The sequence below is a fragment of the Homo sapiens genome, chromosome 10 (assembly GCF_000001405.40).
Source record: "Homo sapiens chromosome 10, GRCh38.p14 Primary Assembly".
NCBI classification, from domain to species: Eukaryota; Metazoa; Chordata; class Mammalia; order Primates; family Hominidae; genus Homo; species Homo sapiens.
In genome coordinates, this window is record NC_000010.11 from 119,217,186 (window position 1) to 119,235,900 (window position 18,715).

At 45.6% G+C, this 18,715-nt stretch overlaps 1 protein-coding gene across 1 annotated transcript in view, besides 3 other annotated features; it reads left to right on the forward strand.

The window, feature by feature from the left end:
* Window positions 1–18,715, forward strand: part of GRK5 (G protein-coupled receptor kinase 5) — a 252,175-nt gene that overhangs the window by 9,615 nt on the left and 223,845 nt on the right. The window lies entirely within an intron of this gene.
* Window positions 5,188–5,699: an enhancer, noted in NCBI's record as "H3K4me1 hESC enhancer chr10:120981885-120982396 (GRCh37/hg19 assembly coordinates)". NCBI's record gives its function as "activates a minimal SCP1, AML or CMV promoter by ChIP-STARR-seq in naive H9 embryonic stem cells {active_cell/tissue: H9 hESC(naive)}" and the evidence as "EXISTENCE:reporter gene assay evidence [ECO:0000049][PMID:30033119]".
* Window positions 15,132–15,426: an enhancer, noted in NCBI's record as "tiled region #13114; K562 Activating DNase matched - State 9:DNaseU". NCBI's record gives its function as "activates a minimal TATA promoter and a strong SV40 promoter by Sharpr-MPRA in K562 cells {active_cell/tissue: K562}" and the evidence as "EXISTENCE:reporter gene assay evidence [ECO:0000049][PMID:27701403]".
* Window positions 18,389–18,448: an enhancer, noted in NCBI's record as "active region_4108". NCBI's record gives its function as "activates an Ori minimal core promoter by ATAC-STARR-seq in GM12878 lymphoblastoid cells {active_cell/tissue: GM12878}" and the evidence as "EXISTENCE:reporter gene assay evidence [ECO:0000049][PMID:35858748]".

An 18,715-nucleotide genomic window follows, 5' to 3' on the forward strand; every position in this document is an offset into this window, starting at 1 on the left:
TTGTCAGATTCCCTGGGAAAAGGGGCAAATTGGGAATATAATTTCTGTCTCAGACCGTGATTTCAGCTGAGGGCCAGTTTGAGAGCAGTTGGGTAAATTAATTCCTACTAGGTTGTAAATGACTGATAGGTGAATCCTCAAAGTAGATGTTTCCATTTTAAAAGTAGAACTGTGTATCAATACAACTGAATCTGTGTTTGAGGACAAGGCAGGATGCCTACATGCCATACATAAGTGCCTGTACACACATAAGCACATGTGTACGTATGTGGTATGATCGCCTGTGGAGGCCCATTACCTGTACTCTCTCGCTGCCTGGGCCCCTCCTACCAACACATCGGACAAGCGAGGCCAGCCTCTTGCGTTATTTTTCCCCTCAGCATGGCTAGTGGCCAACGAATTGCCCCCAAGGGACTGGATGTGAAGCCCCATGGGTGGTGGTGGTGGGGACAGTCATGGGAGTTTAGGTGTGGGCCACATCATTGGCAGCAGCACCACCTCCTTTCCTTGGCAGAGGCAAGAGGTGGGCAGCGGGCATGCCAGTTCCTGCTGGCTCACCACACATAGCTCCCATCTGCCCTGCACCCTGCTTCCCTGGCCGCTTACTGCTCCTTAGGAGGTTCTCGCCCTCAGTTACCTCTGCCTGACAGTGGTACCTTATGTGCAGGCTCAGGTTTCTGCAGCTCTCTTTACTTACTACCCAAGTAGGGGGTTAGAGAGGGGGAGGCGAGGAGGGTTTTTCTTGCAGATTGCAGGGCATCCCCACCCCCTCACCAAAGAGAGGGTATGAAGTGGCCTTTTCCCCCAGAAAAGCTCTCTCCGGATGACCCCTTGCCATTTTTCAGTGGTAACCTTGAGTGTTTGCATTTAGAAACCATGTCAACCCGTTTGTGTGTGTGTGTGTGTGTGTGTGTGTGTTGCGTTAATGTTGCAACTCTGCTTTTCAGGGGGCTTTGTGAGGCAAGGGAGTGTATAAGAGCCATGCACTTCCTTGGGGGTCCACAGTCAGACTTGAGATCCTGGTGGGAAGGCAGCCTGGTGTCGCTCCCTGATGATGAGGGTACAGGAAGCCATGCTTTTGATCTGCTCCTGCAGAGAAGGTGTAGCTCTAAACTTACCCACTCCAGGAAGGGAAGGGGAGGGGGTAGGAGATAGAATTACCCAACTGCTGGATGGAGAGAACCCAGCCAATGTAATTGCTCTGCAAGTCTGATAAAAAGTCTTGTGAAACCTCATTTGAAAATGGAATTCCATCCTGGCATGGGTCTTAGCACTGCTTCTGAAATGGAAACAAGCTGGAGAAGGTCGACAAATGTCCCAGGAAGAACAGCTTTAAGTGGCTGATGCAGAAATGGGTCCTGCTTGGTCTTAATGTTTTCTGTTAATGCACTCAGGAGGGGCTTGTTGGGATATGTAGATAACATCCCAGGAGAAGGAACTCCTAGCTCTAGGAAGAATAGGGGTGGAGTAAGGACAAAGGATTGGACCATCGACTTGAATAGCAAAGGATACCTGAGCATCCAACTTTTCTCAAGCCAAATGCTGTTGTGGGTTGATGCCACTACCCCTGCTGTCACAGATTAGGGAGAGTGTGTGTCTAATGAATATGTTCCTGGAACATAGTAGGTGTTCAAAAATATTTCCAGAATGAATGACTGATGCTACACAGCTTGAGTATCCCTAACTGAAGAATCTGAAATCCAAAATCTGAAACTTTTTTTTTTTTTTTTTGAGACGGAGTCTCGCTCTGTCCCTAGGCCAGAGTGCAGTGGCACGATCTCAGCTCACCGCAACCTCCGCTTCCCGGGTTCAAGCGATTCTCCTGCCTCAGTCTCCCAAGCAGCTGGGACTACAGGCACGTGCTGGGATTTTTTTGTATTTTTAGTAGAGAGCGGGTTTCACCGTGTTAGCCAGGATGGTCTCGATCTCCTGACCTCGTGATCCTCCCTGCCTCGGCCTCCCAAAGTGCTGGGATTACAGGCTTGAGCCACCATGCCCGGCCCAATATCTGAAACTTTTTGAAAGCCAACATGATGCATACAAAATGATCATTGGATCTGTTGCCTAGGCTGGAGTGCAGTGGCACCATCATAGCTTAGCTCACTGCAGCCTTGGCCTCCTGGGCTCAAGTGATCCTCCTGCCTCAGCCTCCAAAGTAGCTGGGACTACAGGTGCGTGCCACCACACTTGACTCTTTGCAACATTTTGGATTTTAGATTTTCAGATTTGGGATGCTCGACCAGTATAATGCAAATATTCCAAAATCCAAAAACATCAGAAATCCAAAGCACTTCTGGTCACAAGCATTTCAGATAAGGGATACTCAACCTGTATTTATGTTATGTGATGGTGAAGAAGAGAGCCGAGAAAGTGATATCCTCAAGAAATGGCCTTGGGGTCACAATAGATGGTACATTAGGATACGATTCAACATGGTTAAGAAAGGTTAACTAAGGTTATAGGGCAAATTGGAAAATGTTTTCCAAATGTTTGTCTTAACTCTGAAAAATGTTTGGCAAACTCCCCCTCCCCCCTAATTTGGAAGTGGTTTGTTTTAGTCGTTTTGGAAGAAATAAATATTTGCATTAGACCAAACATTTGGGGCAAACAGTTCTCCCCATTTCTGAGGCTCTGTGTGAGTAGGAGGAGATGTTTCATGCCGATAACACTCATCCCTTTTTTGGCCAAATCGAAGGTAACTTTCGATGTGAGCTTCACATGCTTTTCACATAACTGCTAGAATGAGGTTGAGCAAATGGAAAGAAAAGAGGAAGCCAAGCAGCTTGATCCTTCCAGACCTAGGGATGGCTGATGACCTGGCATTTGAAGGATGTAATCGTTAAAGAAAAATTGCCTTTCTGCTCATGGGCAGGGAGGCTGGATCCAATTAAGACAAGGAAAACGTATGTTAACTTGGAGGAAAAATTTCTAAACAGTCAATTCTGTAATCCTCTCTGAAGAGGAAGAGGCCAACATGATGAGGCTTTATGGATGGTGCCAAGCCCTGTGATATATAATAATTAGTAACCACTGGTTATTTTGCCGCACACTTATTCTCCAAACCACTAACCATTGCTTGGGATGGAATGCACCAGGCCTAGATATTTGCCCCAGATGTCTTCCCTTCAGCAGTATCCAATTAGAGGGATTTTTACAAATTAAAGCTTAATTCTCTATAATATATAGCAAAATATAAATTAAGGAAGGAGAAACCCGATTTCCTTGGTTGGTTCCATGGGTTACGGAGGTGAGGGCTAGTCTTCAGGTGCACCTCTTAGTTTATGCTTCAGTGGCTAGTGGTGACTGTTCTATATCATGGTCCTTGGTATTTTTGCTAGTCTTTTTGGTAGCTTAAAAACATTTCAGAGGCGAGGCATGGTGGCTCATGCCTGTAATCCCAGCACTTTGGGAGGCCAAGGTGGGTGGATCACCTGAGGTCAGGAGTTTGAGACCACCCTGGCCAACATGGCAAAACCCCGTCTCTATTAAAAATCCAAGAATTAGCCAGGCATGGTGGCACGCGCCTGTAATCTCGGCTACTTGGGAGGCTGAGACAGGAGAATCGCTTGAACCCGGGAGGCGGAGGTTGTGGTGAGCTGAGATCGCGCCACTGCACTCCAGCCTGGGTGACAGAGGCTCAAAAAAAAAAAAAATTTGCAAAGGTAATACTCACTAAAGAAAGTCCAGGCCAGAAGTGGTGGCTCATGCCTGTAATCCCAGCACTTTGGGAGGCTGAGGCTGGCAGATCACCTGAGGTCAGGAGTTTGAGAAGAGCCTGGCCAACATGGCAAAACCCTGTCTCTACTAAAAATACAAAAAAATTAGCCTGGTGTGATGGCATGCGCCTGTAGTCCCAGCTACTCGGGAGGCTGAAGGGAGAGAATGGCGTGAACCCGGGAGGCGGAGGTTGCAGTGAGCCGAGATCGTGCCACTGCACTCCAGCCTGAGGGACAAAGTAAAACTATATCTCGGAAAAAAAAAAAAGTCCAAAGGACCATGTAAAGCATCTCTCTCTGTCTTCCCATGCACCCCTGCTACCAATCCCACCACTCAGAAATAATTAGCGTCAGCATGTAGGTGAACGTTTTCCCAAATCTCTGTATATGCACATACGAACATCTAGATAGAACTTTACACAAAATGGGTCCCAGTGTACACACTGTTCCGCAGCTGTTTTCAGTCCACAATATGCTGCAGAGCCTTTCCATATCTGTGTTTATAGTTTCCCATGAAATGGATGGGTGTCAGGAAAAATTGTGAAAGACTTTGGAAGCTGAATGCTGTTTCAATGGAATGCTGGGTATGTTCTAGCAGACTCTTAGGGGTTATCCAGTTCTAAAGGGGTCTGTGTTTTTCATTGTCTTTGACTAGTTTTATAATATATTTAACCAAGCCCCTAGAATGAGCCATTTAAATTCTCTAATTTTTAAAGATAATATAAAGGAATATCCTACCCATGATATATTCATCTTTATGCACTTATTTTAAAGACTTCTGTTTTTTTCCTGTGGGAGTATCTGCCTAATAACATCCCCTTTCCTCTTTGGGAAGAATCATAATAATTTGTGAAATAGGCTTCAGTGACCCTAGGGATGTACAATGTAGATTTTCTTATGAGAAAGGAGCATGATACATGTGACATGACATTTCTGAGACCTTTGGGACTTAACATCCCTCACCTCTGAGTAATGAGTCATCTTTTCTATGGTATTCAAAGTTTGAATTAGGGAAATTAAGGTTGAGTTCAGTCAAAGACTTTAGTTGTAGATGACTTTTCAGTTGCCCTTGGATTTTGCATGTGTAAATCAGGCAGGGGGTACACTCAGAAAACAAGCCCACAGCTTCGTAAGGTGTCTTGGATCTCTCACTGTGGATCATCAGCACAACCCTGTGGGCCTGGGAATTGTTTTTGCTGTTGCTGTTAGTATTATTCTAGTTTGAGAAAGAAGGAAAACAAGCTCAGAGAGGTGAAGTGGTTTTCCAAGATCACATACCAAGGAGCCACTTCCCCTTGTTTCCTGTGGTGCCAATCCATTGCTTCGTTTTTCGTGTTTGAGAGCTTTTGCGTTTCATTGTACATTGTACAATTCTAGGGAGCCATTGTTCCCATCCTAAAGCTGGTAGATGTGTAAATGTATCAGGTCGGGGGGCAGAAAGTGTCTTGAGGAAGGGACGCCCCTTCCTAATCCCCTCCAAGTGCTGCCTGTGCTGGTGTCAGTCCTCCTGAGGTCATTTGCCCTGTCTTTGATCTGGCACAGTATCCTCCTCTGTGGAATTCTGTAGCTCTTCCTCTGGTAACTGCTTTCACTAAAGGTTTGCATGGAATTTACCTAGACAAGGGCCCTACGGTTCCCACCTGAGAATAGAAAACGCCCATTAAAAACAGCACCACACAAAACAAATCAGTGGCCCCTCCTCCTGCTCTGCCTCCCTCCGAGATAAGCTTGGCATGAGGGCATAGTCCAGAGCCCCACGGCCTTCAGTAATTTTGTTAACAATTGGAGGAGAATGGCATTTTCTTCTGGGAAACATTTGCAGATGTGTGAGCTAGCTCTACATGGGGAAGGGCTGCCCCTTCACTGCGTGCTGAGGCTACGGGCTCCGTGTCCTGTCAGAGTGTGGGAGGGAGCTCCTCACACTGAAGCCAGCTCCTTCCTTCCGCAAAGAAGGGATCTGAGGGCCAAAAGGGGCCCGCATGGGTGGCCGTGCAGGAGCAGAAAGAGGCTCCAAAGCAGGATGGGTCCCCTGGCCTGGATTTTCCTCCAGGGCAGCTCTGCAACTCTAACACCCATCCCCAGGCTGTGTGTTTCCTAGGGATACGTAATAAAGTGCCACCAACTGGGTGGTTTAGAACAACAGACATCTATTGTCGCACAGTTCTGGAGGCCAGACGTTTGAAATCAAGGTGTGTGCAGGGCCGTGCTCCCTCTGAAGGTACCCGGGGAAGACCCGTTCCAGGCCTCTCTCCTTGGCTTGTTGGTGGCTGTCTTCTCCCTGTGCGTCTTCCTCTTGTGCATCTGTCCCTGTGTCCAGAGTTATCCTTTGTATAAGGACACCAGTGCTATTGGATCATGGCCCACTTGAATGACCTCATGTTAACTTGATTACCTCCATAAAGATCCTATTTCCAAATAAAGTCACATTCTGAGGTACCGGGGGTTAGGACTTCAACATAATCTTCTTTGGAGGACGCAGTGAACCCTGGAACACAGGCCCTGCCTGTACTGAAGCAGCAGCTTTTGGGGATAGCCTGTATTTTTAAAACAGGAGGTTCTGAGGATGAACCAGGCGTGGGAACTGCTGCTCTATAGAACCCTGGAGCTGGTGGGTTTTCTGAGTGCCTTCTGAGATTATCTTGGACATCCAGACTACTCTGACCGGGTCCCCAAATAGGACTCTGCAGGTTCCCTGGCAGTTGGTTTCTGTCTTCTGCTCAAATATTTCTAGAGACGGGGAGCTCATACCTTCTTCTAAGCAGCCTATCCGATTTTAAACCACTGGATTAAAAATATCTATAATAATATATATATATTATATATATCTATATATATTAGATAGGCTTCTTGCCTCACCCACTAAATTGTAGACTTCCTGAGGGCTGACACCAGGGCTTTTTCTTTGTATCTTACTGGAACTAACGAGATGCTAAAAGTAAACCCAAGTCGGCCTGTGGAGACCTGGTATGTCTGGTGCCATGTTAACCCATTAGGTCCTGGTTCTGCTCTTTGGAGGTATCCAGGATAAATGCACCACTCTTTGCCTGAGGGGGCCCTTCTAATATTAGAAGACAACTATGATACCCACTGTAGAACTAAAAGCAGAACCCCAAGTCCGGCACGGTGGCACTCACCTGTAGTCCCAGCTACTCCCAAGCCAGGAAGATCACTTGAGCCAGGAGTTCTGGGCTGCAGTGTGCTATGCACTGCACTCCAGTGAATAGCCACTGCACTCCAATCTGGGCAACAGAGTGAGACCCTGTCTCTTAAAAAACAAACAAACAAACAAACATAGCCAGAACCCTGCCCTCCAGATTCCCAGACTGGGCTCTCATTGTGCATTGCAGCCAAGTAACAGACATAACCAACCTTAGGATAGGATTTATTAGCAGGTGGGAATGATGTTGTTGCTAACATCTGGCAAAGCTCAAGGCTTCATAACTTGCCAGAAGTGAGATCCAGTCACCCACTATTTATTTATTAATTTATTATTTATTTATTTATTTATTTATTTATTTATTTATTGAGACGGAGTGTTGCTCTGTCGCCCAGGCTGGAGTGCAATGGCACGATCTCGGCTCACTGCAACCTTCTGCCTCCCAGGTTCAAGCGGTTCTCTTGCCTCAGCGCCCCGAGTAGCTGGGATTACAGGCGCCCGCCACCATGCCCGGCTAACTTTTGCATTTTTTTTTAGTAGAGATGGGGTTTCACCATGTTGGTCAGGCTGGTCTCGAACTTCTGACCTCAGGTTATCCAACTGCCTTGGCCTTACAAAGTGCTAGGATTACAGGCGTGAGCCACTGCGCCCAGCCTAGTCACCCACTTTTTAATTTTCGAGGTAATATGGTATCTTCTCCTGCTGTGCATTGAGGCAAGATGTTTCCATTCCATTGAAAGCTTGATCAAGGTTCTATGAGAAGTTCAAAGGGAAAAGGAGAGTGTGCCACTCATGTGCTGTGTGGCTCCTCTCCAAGCAAAACCATCCTCAGCTGCATAAATGTGCAGCTTGGCCAGGTGATCCTGGAGTCTCTTCTCACCCTTCAAATCTTGAGAATTTGCAGGTGCATTTTCCACTGATAATTCAACTGTGGGTACTTCAGAATAAAATTTGATGTTAATTTGAAGAGCAGGCATTACACATTAAAACAAAAATTACCCCAAGGGAAGAATGAGAGCCAAGAGGGGTTACATTTGTAGTAGAAATAAACAGGAAAAAAACCCGCCACTGCTAATTGAACTGATTCTCGCAATCCAAGAAAGGCAAATGCATGATTCTAATGTTTTCTTTAGTAGATTACAGAAAGGAAGATTAAATCAAAAGTCAAAAATAAACAGTTTGATTATCCTACACTGTATTATCTTAATAAACTGTCTTCCTGGAAAGTTTAAAAATACACAGTACTTCATCTGGCCAAAGAAAACAGTAAGTAAATATTGTTGAGAAAATGTAAGAATTTTCCATCTAGATGTGAGGGGTGGAAATATTGCCATGTGGACTTCAAGACATCCCACAAGGAGTGAGAGAGTGATAGGTATTACCTACCTTTTAAGGCTTGTTGTCGGGGACACTGTTGTCACATACGGGGGAAGAGGTTGGGAGGGGAATGGGCCCTATCAAGCACTCTTCTGGGCTCCTGGCAAAACCTCACCCAGTTCTGCATTCTCCTGCAAGGTTTGTCTAGATACTAGCTGTATCCTGACTGGTGATGCTCAGATTTCATAGTTTAGGGTGATGTGGAGAGGACTGCTGATTTTCTTCTCTCTCTCTCTTTTTTTTTTTTTTTTTTGAGATAGAGTCTCGCTCTGTCACCCAGGCTGGAGTGCAATGGCGCGATCTTGGCTCACTGCAACCTCCTCCTCCTGGGTTCAAGCAATTCTCCTGTCTCAGCCTCCTGAGTAGCTGGGACTACAGGCATGCACCACTGTGCCCGGCTAATTTTTGTATTTTTTTTTCTTTTTTTTTTTGAGATGGAGTCTCGCTCTGTCACCCAGGCTGGTGTGCAGTGGCATGATCTTGGCTCACTGCAAGCTCCGCCTCCCGGGTTCACGCCATTCTCCTGCTTCAGCCTCCCGTGTAGCTGGGACTACAGGTGCCCGCCACCATGCCTTGCTAATTTTTGTATTTTTAGTAGAGATGGTGTTTCACCATGTTGGCCAGGATGGTCTCGATCTCCCGACCTCATGATCCACCCGCTTCAGCCTCCCAAAGTGCTGGGATTACAGGCATGAGCCAGCACCCGGCTAATTTTTGTATTTTTAATAGAGACGAGGTTTCATCATATTGGCCAGTCTGGGCTCGAACTCCTGACCTTGTGATCTGCCCGTCTCGGCTCCCCAAAGAGCTGGGATTACAGGTGTGAGCCACTGTGCCTGGCATCTTCTTCTTTTTCTTTTTTTTTTTTTTAATTTTAATTTTTTTTTTTTTTTTGAGATGAAGCCTAACTCTGTCACCCAGGCTGGAGTGCAGTGGAGCAATCTCGGCCCACTGCAACCTTTGCCTCCCAGGTTCAAGCGTGCTGATTCTCTTCTGCTTAATTTTTCTACAGTTGGAAGTAGCAAAAGGTGGAGACTAGTGATGTGAGTTCTGTCCTAGCTTTGTTGCTAACCTGCCAGAGACCAAGGCTGGTAACTTTGTGTCTCTGTATCTTTTTTTTTTTTTTTTTGAGACACAGTCTCACGCTTGCCCAGGCTGGAGTACAGTGGTGCGATCTCGGCTCACTGCAATCTCTGCCTCCTGGGTTCAAGAGATTCCCTTGTCTCTGCCACCTGAGTAGCTAGGATTACAGGCGCCTGCTACCATGCCCGGCTTTTTTTTTTCTTTTTCTTTTTTTTGTATTTTTAGTAGAGATGGGGTTTCACCATGTTGGTCAGGTTGGTCTCAAACTCCTGACCTCAAATGACCCATCTGCCTCAGCCTCCCAAAGTGCTGGGATTACAGGTATGAACCACTGTACCTGGCCTGTATCTTTTCTTTTGAGATGGTGTCTTGCTTTGTTGCCCAGGCTGGAGTGCAGTGGCGTGATCTTGGCTCACTGCCACCTTGGCCTCCTGGGCTCAAGTGGTTTTCCTGCCTCCGCCTCCCAAGTAGCTGGGATTATATGCGCCCGCCAGCACATCTGACTAATTTTTGTATTTTTAGTAAAGACGTTTCACTGTGTTGGCTAGGCTGGTCTCTAACTCCCAGTCTCAGGTGATCCGCCCTCCTTGGCCTCTCAAAGTGCTAAGATTACAGGTATGAGCCACCACTACTGGCCTGCCTCTCTGTATCTTTATCATCACATAGGAATAATGCCCTATTGATCACAGAGACCAAATAAAAAATGTAAATAAGATGGGGAGTCCAGATGCAAACCCTAGTATATGTAAAATTTTAGTATATAATAGGCTGGGCACGGTGGCTCATGCCTATAATCCCAGCACTTTGGGAAGCCGAGGTGGGTGGATTGCTTGAGCCCAGGAGTTTGAGACCAGCCTGGGCAATATGGCGAAACTCCATCTCTACTAAAAATACAAAAATTAGCCGGGCATGGTGGCGCATGCCTGTAAACTCAGCTACTAGGGAGGAGGTTGAGGCAAGAGAATCGCTTGAACCCGGGAGGCAGAGATTTGCAGTGAGCTGAGATCGTGGCACTGCACTCCAGCCTGGGTGACAGAACAAGACTTGATCTCAAACAACAACAACAGCAGCAACAAACAAACAAACATGGTAGCCTTGTTACAGCCAGGAAGGATGGAGATAGTAAATGGGGAGGTAGTTTCTAAGGAAAAAAGCAAGTCCTGGTTAGACAGGTAGTATGTAGGGATCCACTACACATGAAAAGATGCTCGATCTCACTAGAAATCTAAGATATATAGAATCTTAGTTTGGCAATAATTTAAAACATTGATAAAGGCTTATTTAAAAAGTGTGGGTGAATAGGTTCTTTCAAACATTACGATCTTGTTGCTGACTAGAGTGTAAATTGGTAAGTCTTTGTCTCAAGAACATTTTGGTAATATAGACATCAAAAGCCTTAAAATTGGGTAACCCTTGACCTTGAAGTTCCACGTCTAAGATTTTATCTTAAGGAAAAATTAGCGTACCAATGACGTGCAGGAAGTTGTTCAGTAGATGATGTTTATAATAGAGGTTAATTGGAAACAGTTCCAATGACCATCTGTAAAGGATCGATATAATAAATCCTGGCATATTCAAATAGTAGACTCATACATAGCTATTAAGAATTATGGAGATCCAGACTGGGCAGCATGGTGAAACCCCATCTCTACAAAAAACAAAAACAAAAAACTAAAATTAGCTGGGCATGGTGGTGTGCGCCTGAAGTCCCAGCTACTGTGGAGGCTGAGGTGGGATGATCACTTGAGCCTGGGAGTTGGAGGTTGCAGTGAGCCACGATGGTGCCAGTATGCTCCAGCCTGGGTGACAAAGTGATACCCTGTCTCAAAAAAAACAAAACAAAACAAAAAACCAACCCGCCCCCCCGCAAAAACGTTATGGAGATCTAGTTCGAGACCAGCCTGGGCAACATAGTGAGACCCAATCTCTAAAAAAAAAAAAAAAATTAAAAAACATCAGCAATCAGCCAGGCATGGTGGTGCATGCCTGTAGTCCTAGCTACTTGGGTGGGAGGATCATTTGAGCCCAAGAATTCAAGGCTGCAGTGAGCTGTGATCATGCCATTGTGCTCCAGCCTGGGGTGACGAGTGAGACCATGTCTCTGAGAAAAAAAGAAAAAAGAATTATGGAGACCTATTCTTATTGGCATGGAGAGACGATCATAACATAGTGAGCAGGGGTTAGGAAAACCCAGATTATGTACAACGAATGTGCGTTACACTTAATAATTAGAAGAAAAAAGATGTCTTTTTTGGGGAGGGGGTGACAATGCCTTGTAAATGTAAGGCCACTTGAGAGGACTGTACAGAAATAAAATCCTTAAAGAAAAGTAAACATGCCAGGTCTTCTGAATCTCAGCAAGGGTTGGCCTTCTTAGCATTCCTCCATGGGAGATTCTAGGATTATTCCAGCTGTGTTACTTCAAGGATTCTTGAAACTCTTCTTGGACCCATTTGTTGACTGACTGCTTTGATGGACTGTAAATACACATCATTAAGGCTAGATGCCTTAACGCATCTAGCATACTGTTTTGACTCCGCTAGATGATGACATGTCTTTGTCTTTCAAATGCGAATTTGATTTTTCGGAAAATCAAATTTTGTTAGGCTTGATGCGTAAAGTGGCCATTTTGGAGCTGGAGAGTAAGGGGCAAGAATGGGGAATGAGAAGACTGGGACCTTTCCCAGTGCCCTGTGCTGGGTTGGGGTTTATAAAAAACCCTCCAAGGCATTGGCTTTGTTAGGCTGGGCTCTTCTGGGTGTGCAGCGTTGTGTGTTTGTTTTAATAGTAACCACCATTATTTTATAATAAAATGACGGTTGGTGGAAGGTGAGCACTCCTATCCTTGGTTGACAAGCTGGGCAGTTGATGAAGAGATACTCTGTCTGTAATCCTTTAACCAGGGATGTGCCCAGTAGAGGCTAGATTCCTGTTATCTCTGTCTAGTGAACTAGTGACCAACTAATGAGCAGGGAGGGGTGCTTTAGCATGTGCAAAATCCGAGTCAATTGAACTGACATGATTCAAGACCTCCTGGGTGTGTAATGCTGGCTGGGGTACTTCAGGAATGCAAAGATGTGAGATTCTGCTCTTCCTCTTCAGGACCTTCCAGCCTAGTTGGGGGAAAGGCAGGTACATGATCAACTCCATTACAAAGTAATCTAAGTACAGAGGCAGCCTTGATGGGGGGCAGGGATCAGTAAAGCTTTCATCAGAGAAGTGGTCTTGAGCTGTGCCTTGAGGACAGGTGGCTGGTGGTATGAAGACAGCATTTACAGGGCCCCTAACTGGTGCAGGCTCTGTGAAGGAGGCTTTATAGAGATAGATGTATTTTTCACCACGGTCCAATGCATTAGGTTTCATTGTCTTTTGCACATGACAAATCTGACAGGCTAAGGACACATTCAGGTAGGTGTTGGAGCTTGGCTTTGAGCTTCCAGCCTGTGCTGTGGGGAGAATTCCATCTTATGAGGTTACGGGGTGTGAGGGACAAAGGTTGTTGGCACTGGGGAAAGCCAAATGGTGGTGACTTGGGAACAGCTTGTGGTGGCCCCATTTTTCTGGAGCCTGGAGTAGTTGTGGGGGAGCAGGGAGCAGGAAGGCTGCAGAAGAATAGGGTCATATGGGGAGGTCTCTGAGTGTCAGGCTAGAATTTGGGAGTTAAGGTTTTAGGCAAAAAATAGCCGGCCAGGTACGGTAGCTCACGCCTGTAATCCTAGCACTTTGGGAGGCCAAAGTGGGAGGATTACTTGAGCCCAGGAGTTCCAGACTAGCCTAGGCAATATGGTAAGACCCATATATTAGTCCATTTTCACACTACTGATAAAGACATACCTGAGACTGGGTAATTTATGCATGAAAAAGGGTTTAATGGACTTACAGTTCTACGTGGCTGGGAGGCCTCACAATCATGGCAGAAGGCAAGGAAGAGCAAAGTCACGCCTTAGGATGGCAGCAGGCAAAGAGAGAGCTTGTGCAAGGAAACTCCCCCTTATAATAACTGTCAGATCTCATGAGACTTACTCACTGTCTCAAGAACAGCAAATACCTGTCCCCATGATTCAGTTACCTCCCACTGGGTCCCTCCCACAACATGTGGGAATTCAAGATGAAATTTGGGTGGGGACACAGCCAAACCGTATCACCCCATCTCTACAAAAAATAAAAAAATTAGCCAGGTGTGGTGGTGTGCACCTGTAGTCCCAGCCACTTGGGGAGGACTGAAGCGGATCACTTGAGCCCAGGGATGCTGCAGTGAGCTATAATTACATCACTGTACTCTAGCCTGGGTGGCAGAGTGAGACCCTATCTCAAAAAAAAAAAAAAAAAAAAAAAGAGCCACTGAGAGTTTTTCAGCAGAGGAGGCTCAAAAACTACCTGTACTTGAAGACACCAGATCTGGCAGCAGAAGCTGTAGGGCCAAATGGGCAGTGGTTCTTGGAAGTATTGTGGGGGCTTCCAGGGTTCTGCAAAAAAGAGGGAGAGGGGTGGGTTGGAGCAGCTTTGGGGAGACTAAATCTATAGCACTTGGCACCTGATAGGACATGGCGGTGAGTGGAAGGACAACACTGTAACTTTTGTGCAGCAAAAGAAACAATCAACAGAGTGAAAAGACAACACACAGAATTGGGGGAAACATTTGCAAACTGTTCACCTGACAAGGGATTGATACCCAGAACATACAAGGAACTCAAACATCTCAACAGGAAAAAAACATTCCTATTAAAAAATGGGCAGATGATCTGGACAGACATTTCTCAAAAGAAGACATACACACCACTAAAGAACTTACTCATGTAACCAAATACTGCTGTACCCCAATAACTTATAGAAAAATTAAAAAATTAAAAAACATCTAAACATAAAAAAAGAAGACATACAAAGATGGCCAATAAAAAGTGCTGAGGCCGGGTGCAGTGGGTCATGCCTGTAATCCTAGCACTTTGGGAGGCTGAGGCAGGTGGATCACTTGAGGTCAGGAGTTCGAAACCAGCCTGACCAACATGGTGAAACCTTGTCTCTACTAAAAATAAAAAAAATTAGCTGGGCGTGGTGGTGGATGCCTGTAATCCCAGCTACTTGGGAGGCTGAGACAGGAGAATCGCTTGAACCTGGGAGGCGGAGGTTGCAGTGAGCCGAGATCGTGCCACCGCACTCTAGCCTGAGTGACAGAGCAAGACTCTGCCTCAAAAAAAAAAAAAAAAAGAAAAAAAACTCAACATCACTAATCATTAAGGAAGTGCAAATCAAAACCACAATGAGGTATTATCTCACCGCAGTTAAAATGGCCATTATCAAAAGGACAAAAAATAACAAATACCGGAGACGATGTAGAGAAAAGGGAACTCATACACTGTTGGTGGGAATGTAAACTAGTACAGCCACGATGGAGAACAGTATGGAGGTTCCTCCAAAAACTACAACTAGAACTACCATATGATCCAGCAATCTCACTACTGGGCATTTATCCAAAATAAAGGAAATAAGTGCATCAAAGAGACATCTGCACCCCCATGTTTATTGCAGCACTATTCACAATAGCCAAGATAGTGGAATCAACTTAGATATCCAACAACAGATGAATGGATAAAGAAAATGTGGCATATATACACAACGGGAATCTATTCGGCCCTGAAGAATGAAGTCTTGCCATTCGCAGCAACATGGATGGAACTGGAGGGCATTATGCTAAGTGAAATAAACCAGGCACAGAAAGTTAAATGCTATGTGTTCTCACTTATACGTGGAAGCTAAAAAAAAGTTGATTCATAGAAGTAAAAAGTAGAACAGATAATACTAGAGGCTGGGAAGGGTAGGGGGAAGGGGATAGAGAAAGGTTTGTTTAACAACACAAAATTATAGCTAGATAGGAGGAAGAAACTCCTAGTGTTCTATATCTGTAGAATGACTGTAGTTAACACTAATATGTAGTTTCAAATAGCTAGAAGGAGGATATTGAATGTTCCTAACTGATATGGTTTGGCTGTGTTCCCACCCACATCTCATCTTGAATTCCCACGTGTTGTGGGAGGGGCCCGTGGGAGGTAATTGAATCATGGGGGGCAGGTCTTTTCCATGCTGTTCTCGTGATAGTAAGTCTCACAAGATCTGATGGTTATTATAAAGGGGAGTTTCCCTGCACAAGCTCTCTTTGCCTGCTGCCATCCATGTAAGACGTGACTTGCTCCTACTTGTCTCCCACCATGATTATGAGGCTTCCCCAGCCATGTGAAACTGAAAGTCCAATGAAACCTCTTTCTTTTGTAAATTGCCCAGTCCTGGGTATGTCTTTATCAGCAGTGTGAAAAGAGACTAATACACTAGCACAAATAAATGATAAACATTTGAGATGACAGATATGCTAATTACCCTGATCTGATCACTGTACATCATATGAATTGCAACATCACCATGTACCCCATAAATACGTAGTTATGTGTCAGCTAAAAGATAAAAAACTATAATATTTGCACCCAGGTGATGCTGCAGGGCAGTCAGGAGATGTGGCTGGCTCTGGGGAAAGGTGTCAGCTTGGTCTGGGCCTCCCTCAGTGGCCAAATGGCCAGTGTGAAGTCTTGGAGGGTGAAGGGCTCCTCCATGCCAGAGGCAAGCACCTGGCAGTAGCTTTGAAGAAATGTGGGAGCAGACGGTGTCTGTTGTTTTTCTGGCCCACATCTACCCCCTCTTCTTCTGGCAACAGCACCTCCATTTTTCTTGGGGGACCACTCCTCCCTGTATTTAATCCACAAGGTTGGGTGGAGATGATGTCTCATTGGTTCCATCAGTGAGCACATGACTCAGCCCTGGCTGTGCAGAGCCTTGATTCTCTGCTTGGCCTCAGGGATGGGGATGGGATTCTTGGTTCCAAAAGGGCTGCTCTTCTGCTGCTGGGGTTGCCAAGCTGGTGGAGGGAAACTTGGAGCTCTTGGTGGCCGTTGCCACAGCCTATCTGAGAATAAAGGCGGCATAGCACGATGTTGAATCAAAGGCTGATGGGGTGGGGGAGAGAGAGAGAGTCCTCATTGCATTGTTTCATTTTGGTGTCCAGCCATTCTGGGGGCCAGATGTACCCCCCTGGTTTCCTGTTTGGGTGAACGTGTGACTTGCCACTTACAGTCAAAGGATCCTGACTCATTCAGGGTTAAAAGTCACATCCTTAGGGGATACCTGCCTTAAAGAACCCAAGACAGCAGGCCAGAGACATGGGGCCTGGGTCAGGAGGAGCCAGCCCCCTGAGTCAAGGAAGGCTGGATGTGCACCTTTGTCCCAGGCTTTGCTTGAGCAGAGGGCCAGGTGTATTTGATATTTGCCACAAAGAATACAATCCTTAACCTGGCTGCCCTTGTGAGACTCCAACTGTAGCAAAGAAAGATTAGGAAACAAACATCCCAGTCACCATGGAAATGTGAACCCAAGGTGTTAGGAACAATAGCTGTGTGAGTCCGGAAGTGGATTCTGTCCACACACATGTTGGTTTGATCCCCCATCTATTTCCTTGTGGGGGCCTGGGCATATCTGTGAACGTATGATATAGCCAGCTGCTCTAGGGCTGGGTGCCACCTCCCATTAGCCTTGGTTTCATCATCACCAAAATAGCTGTAAACCTAATACACTGCTTATGCATGTCAGAACCTCCTTACAGCCTCCCTCGGAGGTAAATATTATTTTTATCTTAATTCCACAGATGAGAAAACAGAAGCTCAGGGAGGTTCCTAAACTTTCCCAAGGTCACAGTTGTTGATGGAAGAGCCAGGGTTTGAACCCAGCCCGTTGAGTCTGTGCTTTTTTAACCACCACGTTCCTCACGTTGGTGTTGACAAAAAATATTACTAAAAGTAGTTCATTCTTACTCTACATGTCTTATTTCAATTCTGCCACAAACCTATGAGGCAAGTACAACTGGTTAATTCCATCTTATAAACGAGGAAGCTGAGGCACAGAAGACTTAGGAATCTTGCCCAAGTTCCACCGTCAGTAGGAGGCAAAAGTACATTTGGGGGTTACTTTTTTCAGGTGGATTTGAAATGATAATGTGTCTTAAATTTAATTTGGAAGCCAAGAATGGGTGATAACTGTAATTTTTTCTTTTCTTTTCTCCTTCCCCTCCCCTCCTTTTCTTTTCTATTCTTTTCTTTTCTCCCTCCCCTTTTTTCTTTTCTTTTCTTTCTTCTTTTCTTTTCTTATTATTTTTTGAGACAGAGTCTTGCTCTGTCACCCAGGCTGGAGTGCAGTGGCACGATCTCGGCTCACTGCAACCTCTGCCTCCTGGGTTCAAGTGATTGTCCTGCCTCAGCCTCCCGAATACCTGGGATTATAGGTGCACGCCTTGTATTTTTAGTAGAGACAGCATTTCACCATGTTAGCCAGGCTGGTCTCGAACTCCTGACCTCAGGTGATCAGCCTGCCTCGGCCTCCCAAAGTGCTGAGATTACAGACATGAGCTACCACGCCCGGCCTAATTAATTAATTTTTTTGAGATGGAGTCTCACTCTGTTGCCCAGGCTGGAGTGCAGTGACACCATCTCAGCTCACTGCAACCTCTGCCTTCCCAGGCTTGGGTGATCCTCCCACCTCAGCCTTCTGAGTAGCTGGGACTAGAGGTGCACACCACCAGGACTGGCTAATTTTTTTTTATTTTTTTTATTTTTGTAGAGACGGTTTCACCATGTTGCCCAGGCTGGGATAAGTGTAATTTCTAAATCTGGCTTTCATCAGTGGTGATGTTCTTCATGTGTAGATTTATACTAGGGAAACAAATCAGGAGGGGGAACAAGGTGGACAGAGAATAATAGCAACTTGATTTGCCTATTATCCCTGGAAAACCATATCCTGGAACTCACTAGCATGTAAGTAATTGGAAAATGTTAAAGCAAAAGAGCCAGGTTTAGAAACAAAATCACACCATCAAGTCTATGTAAATGAGTTCCTCGGTGAAGAGAAAAGCAAATGCACTGCTGTTTGTGGGCTGGCTGGCTGTGTCCCAAGTGCTGCAGAGTGGGAGTCTGGGACCAGTTGTTTTTTCATTGAGGGCCCCTTACAAGGCACACTCGGGTTGTTCAGACTCCATGAAGCTCATGAATTGGCTCAATAACAAAAAGCATGAATCATTTGAACGTGAAGGTACAGGGACATCTGTTTGAGTAATTTCTGACAGTTTTTTTTTCCTTTTTGAAAATGTGTTATATTTAGGATTTACTTGAGAAATAAGGTGGACTTGGGGACTGACAGCCCATCAGTTTCATGGGAACAGGGCCTGTGTCTTTTTATTGCTCTTTTTGTGTATGTCTGTAGACAATAGGTGCTCAATAAGTACTTTGTGTAAATGGTGACTTTAGGAGCACCTGGATTCTGCCCCAGGAGATTCCTGAGGGGCTGGCAGGTA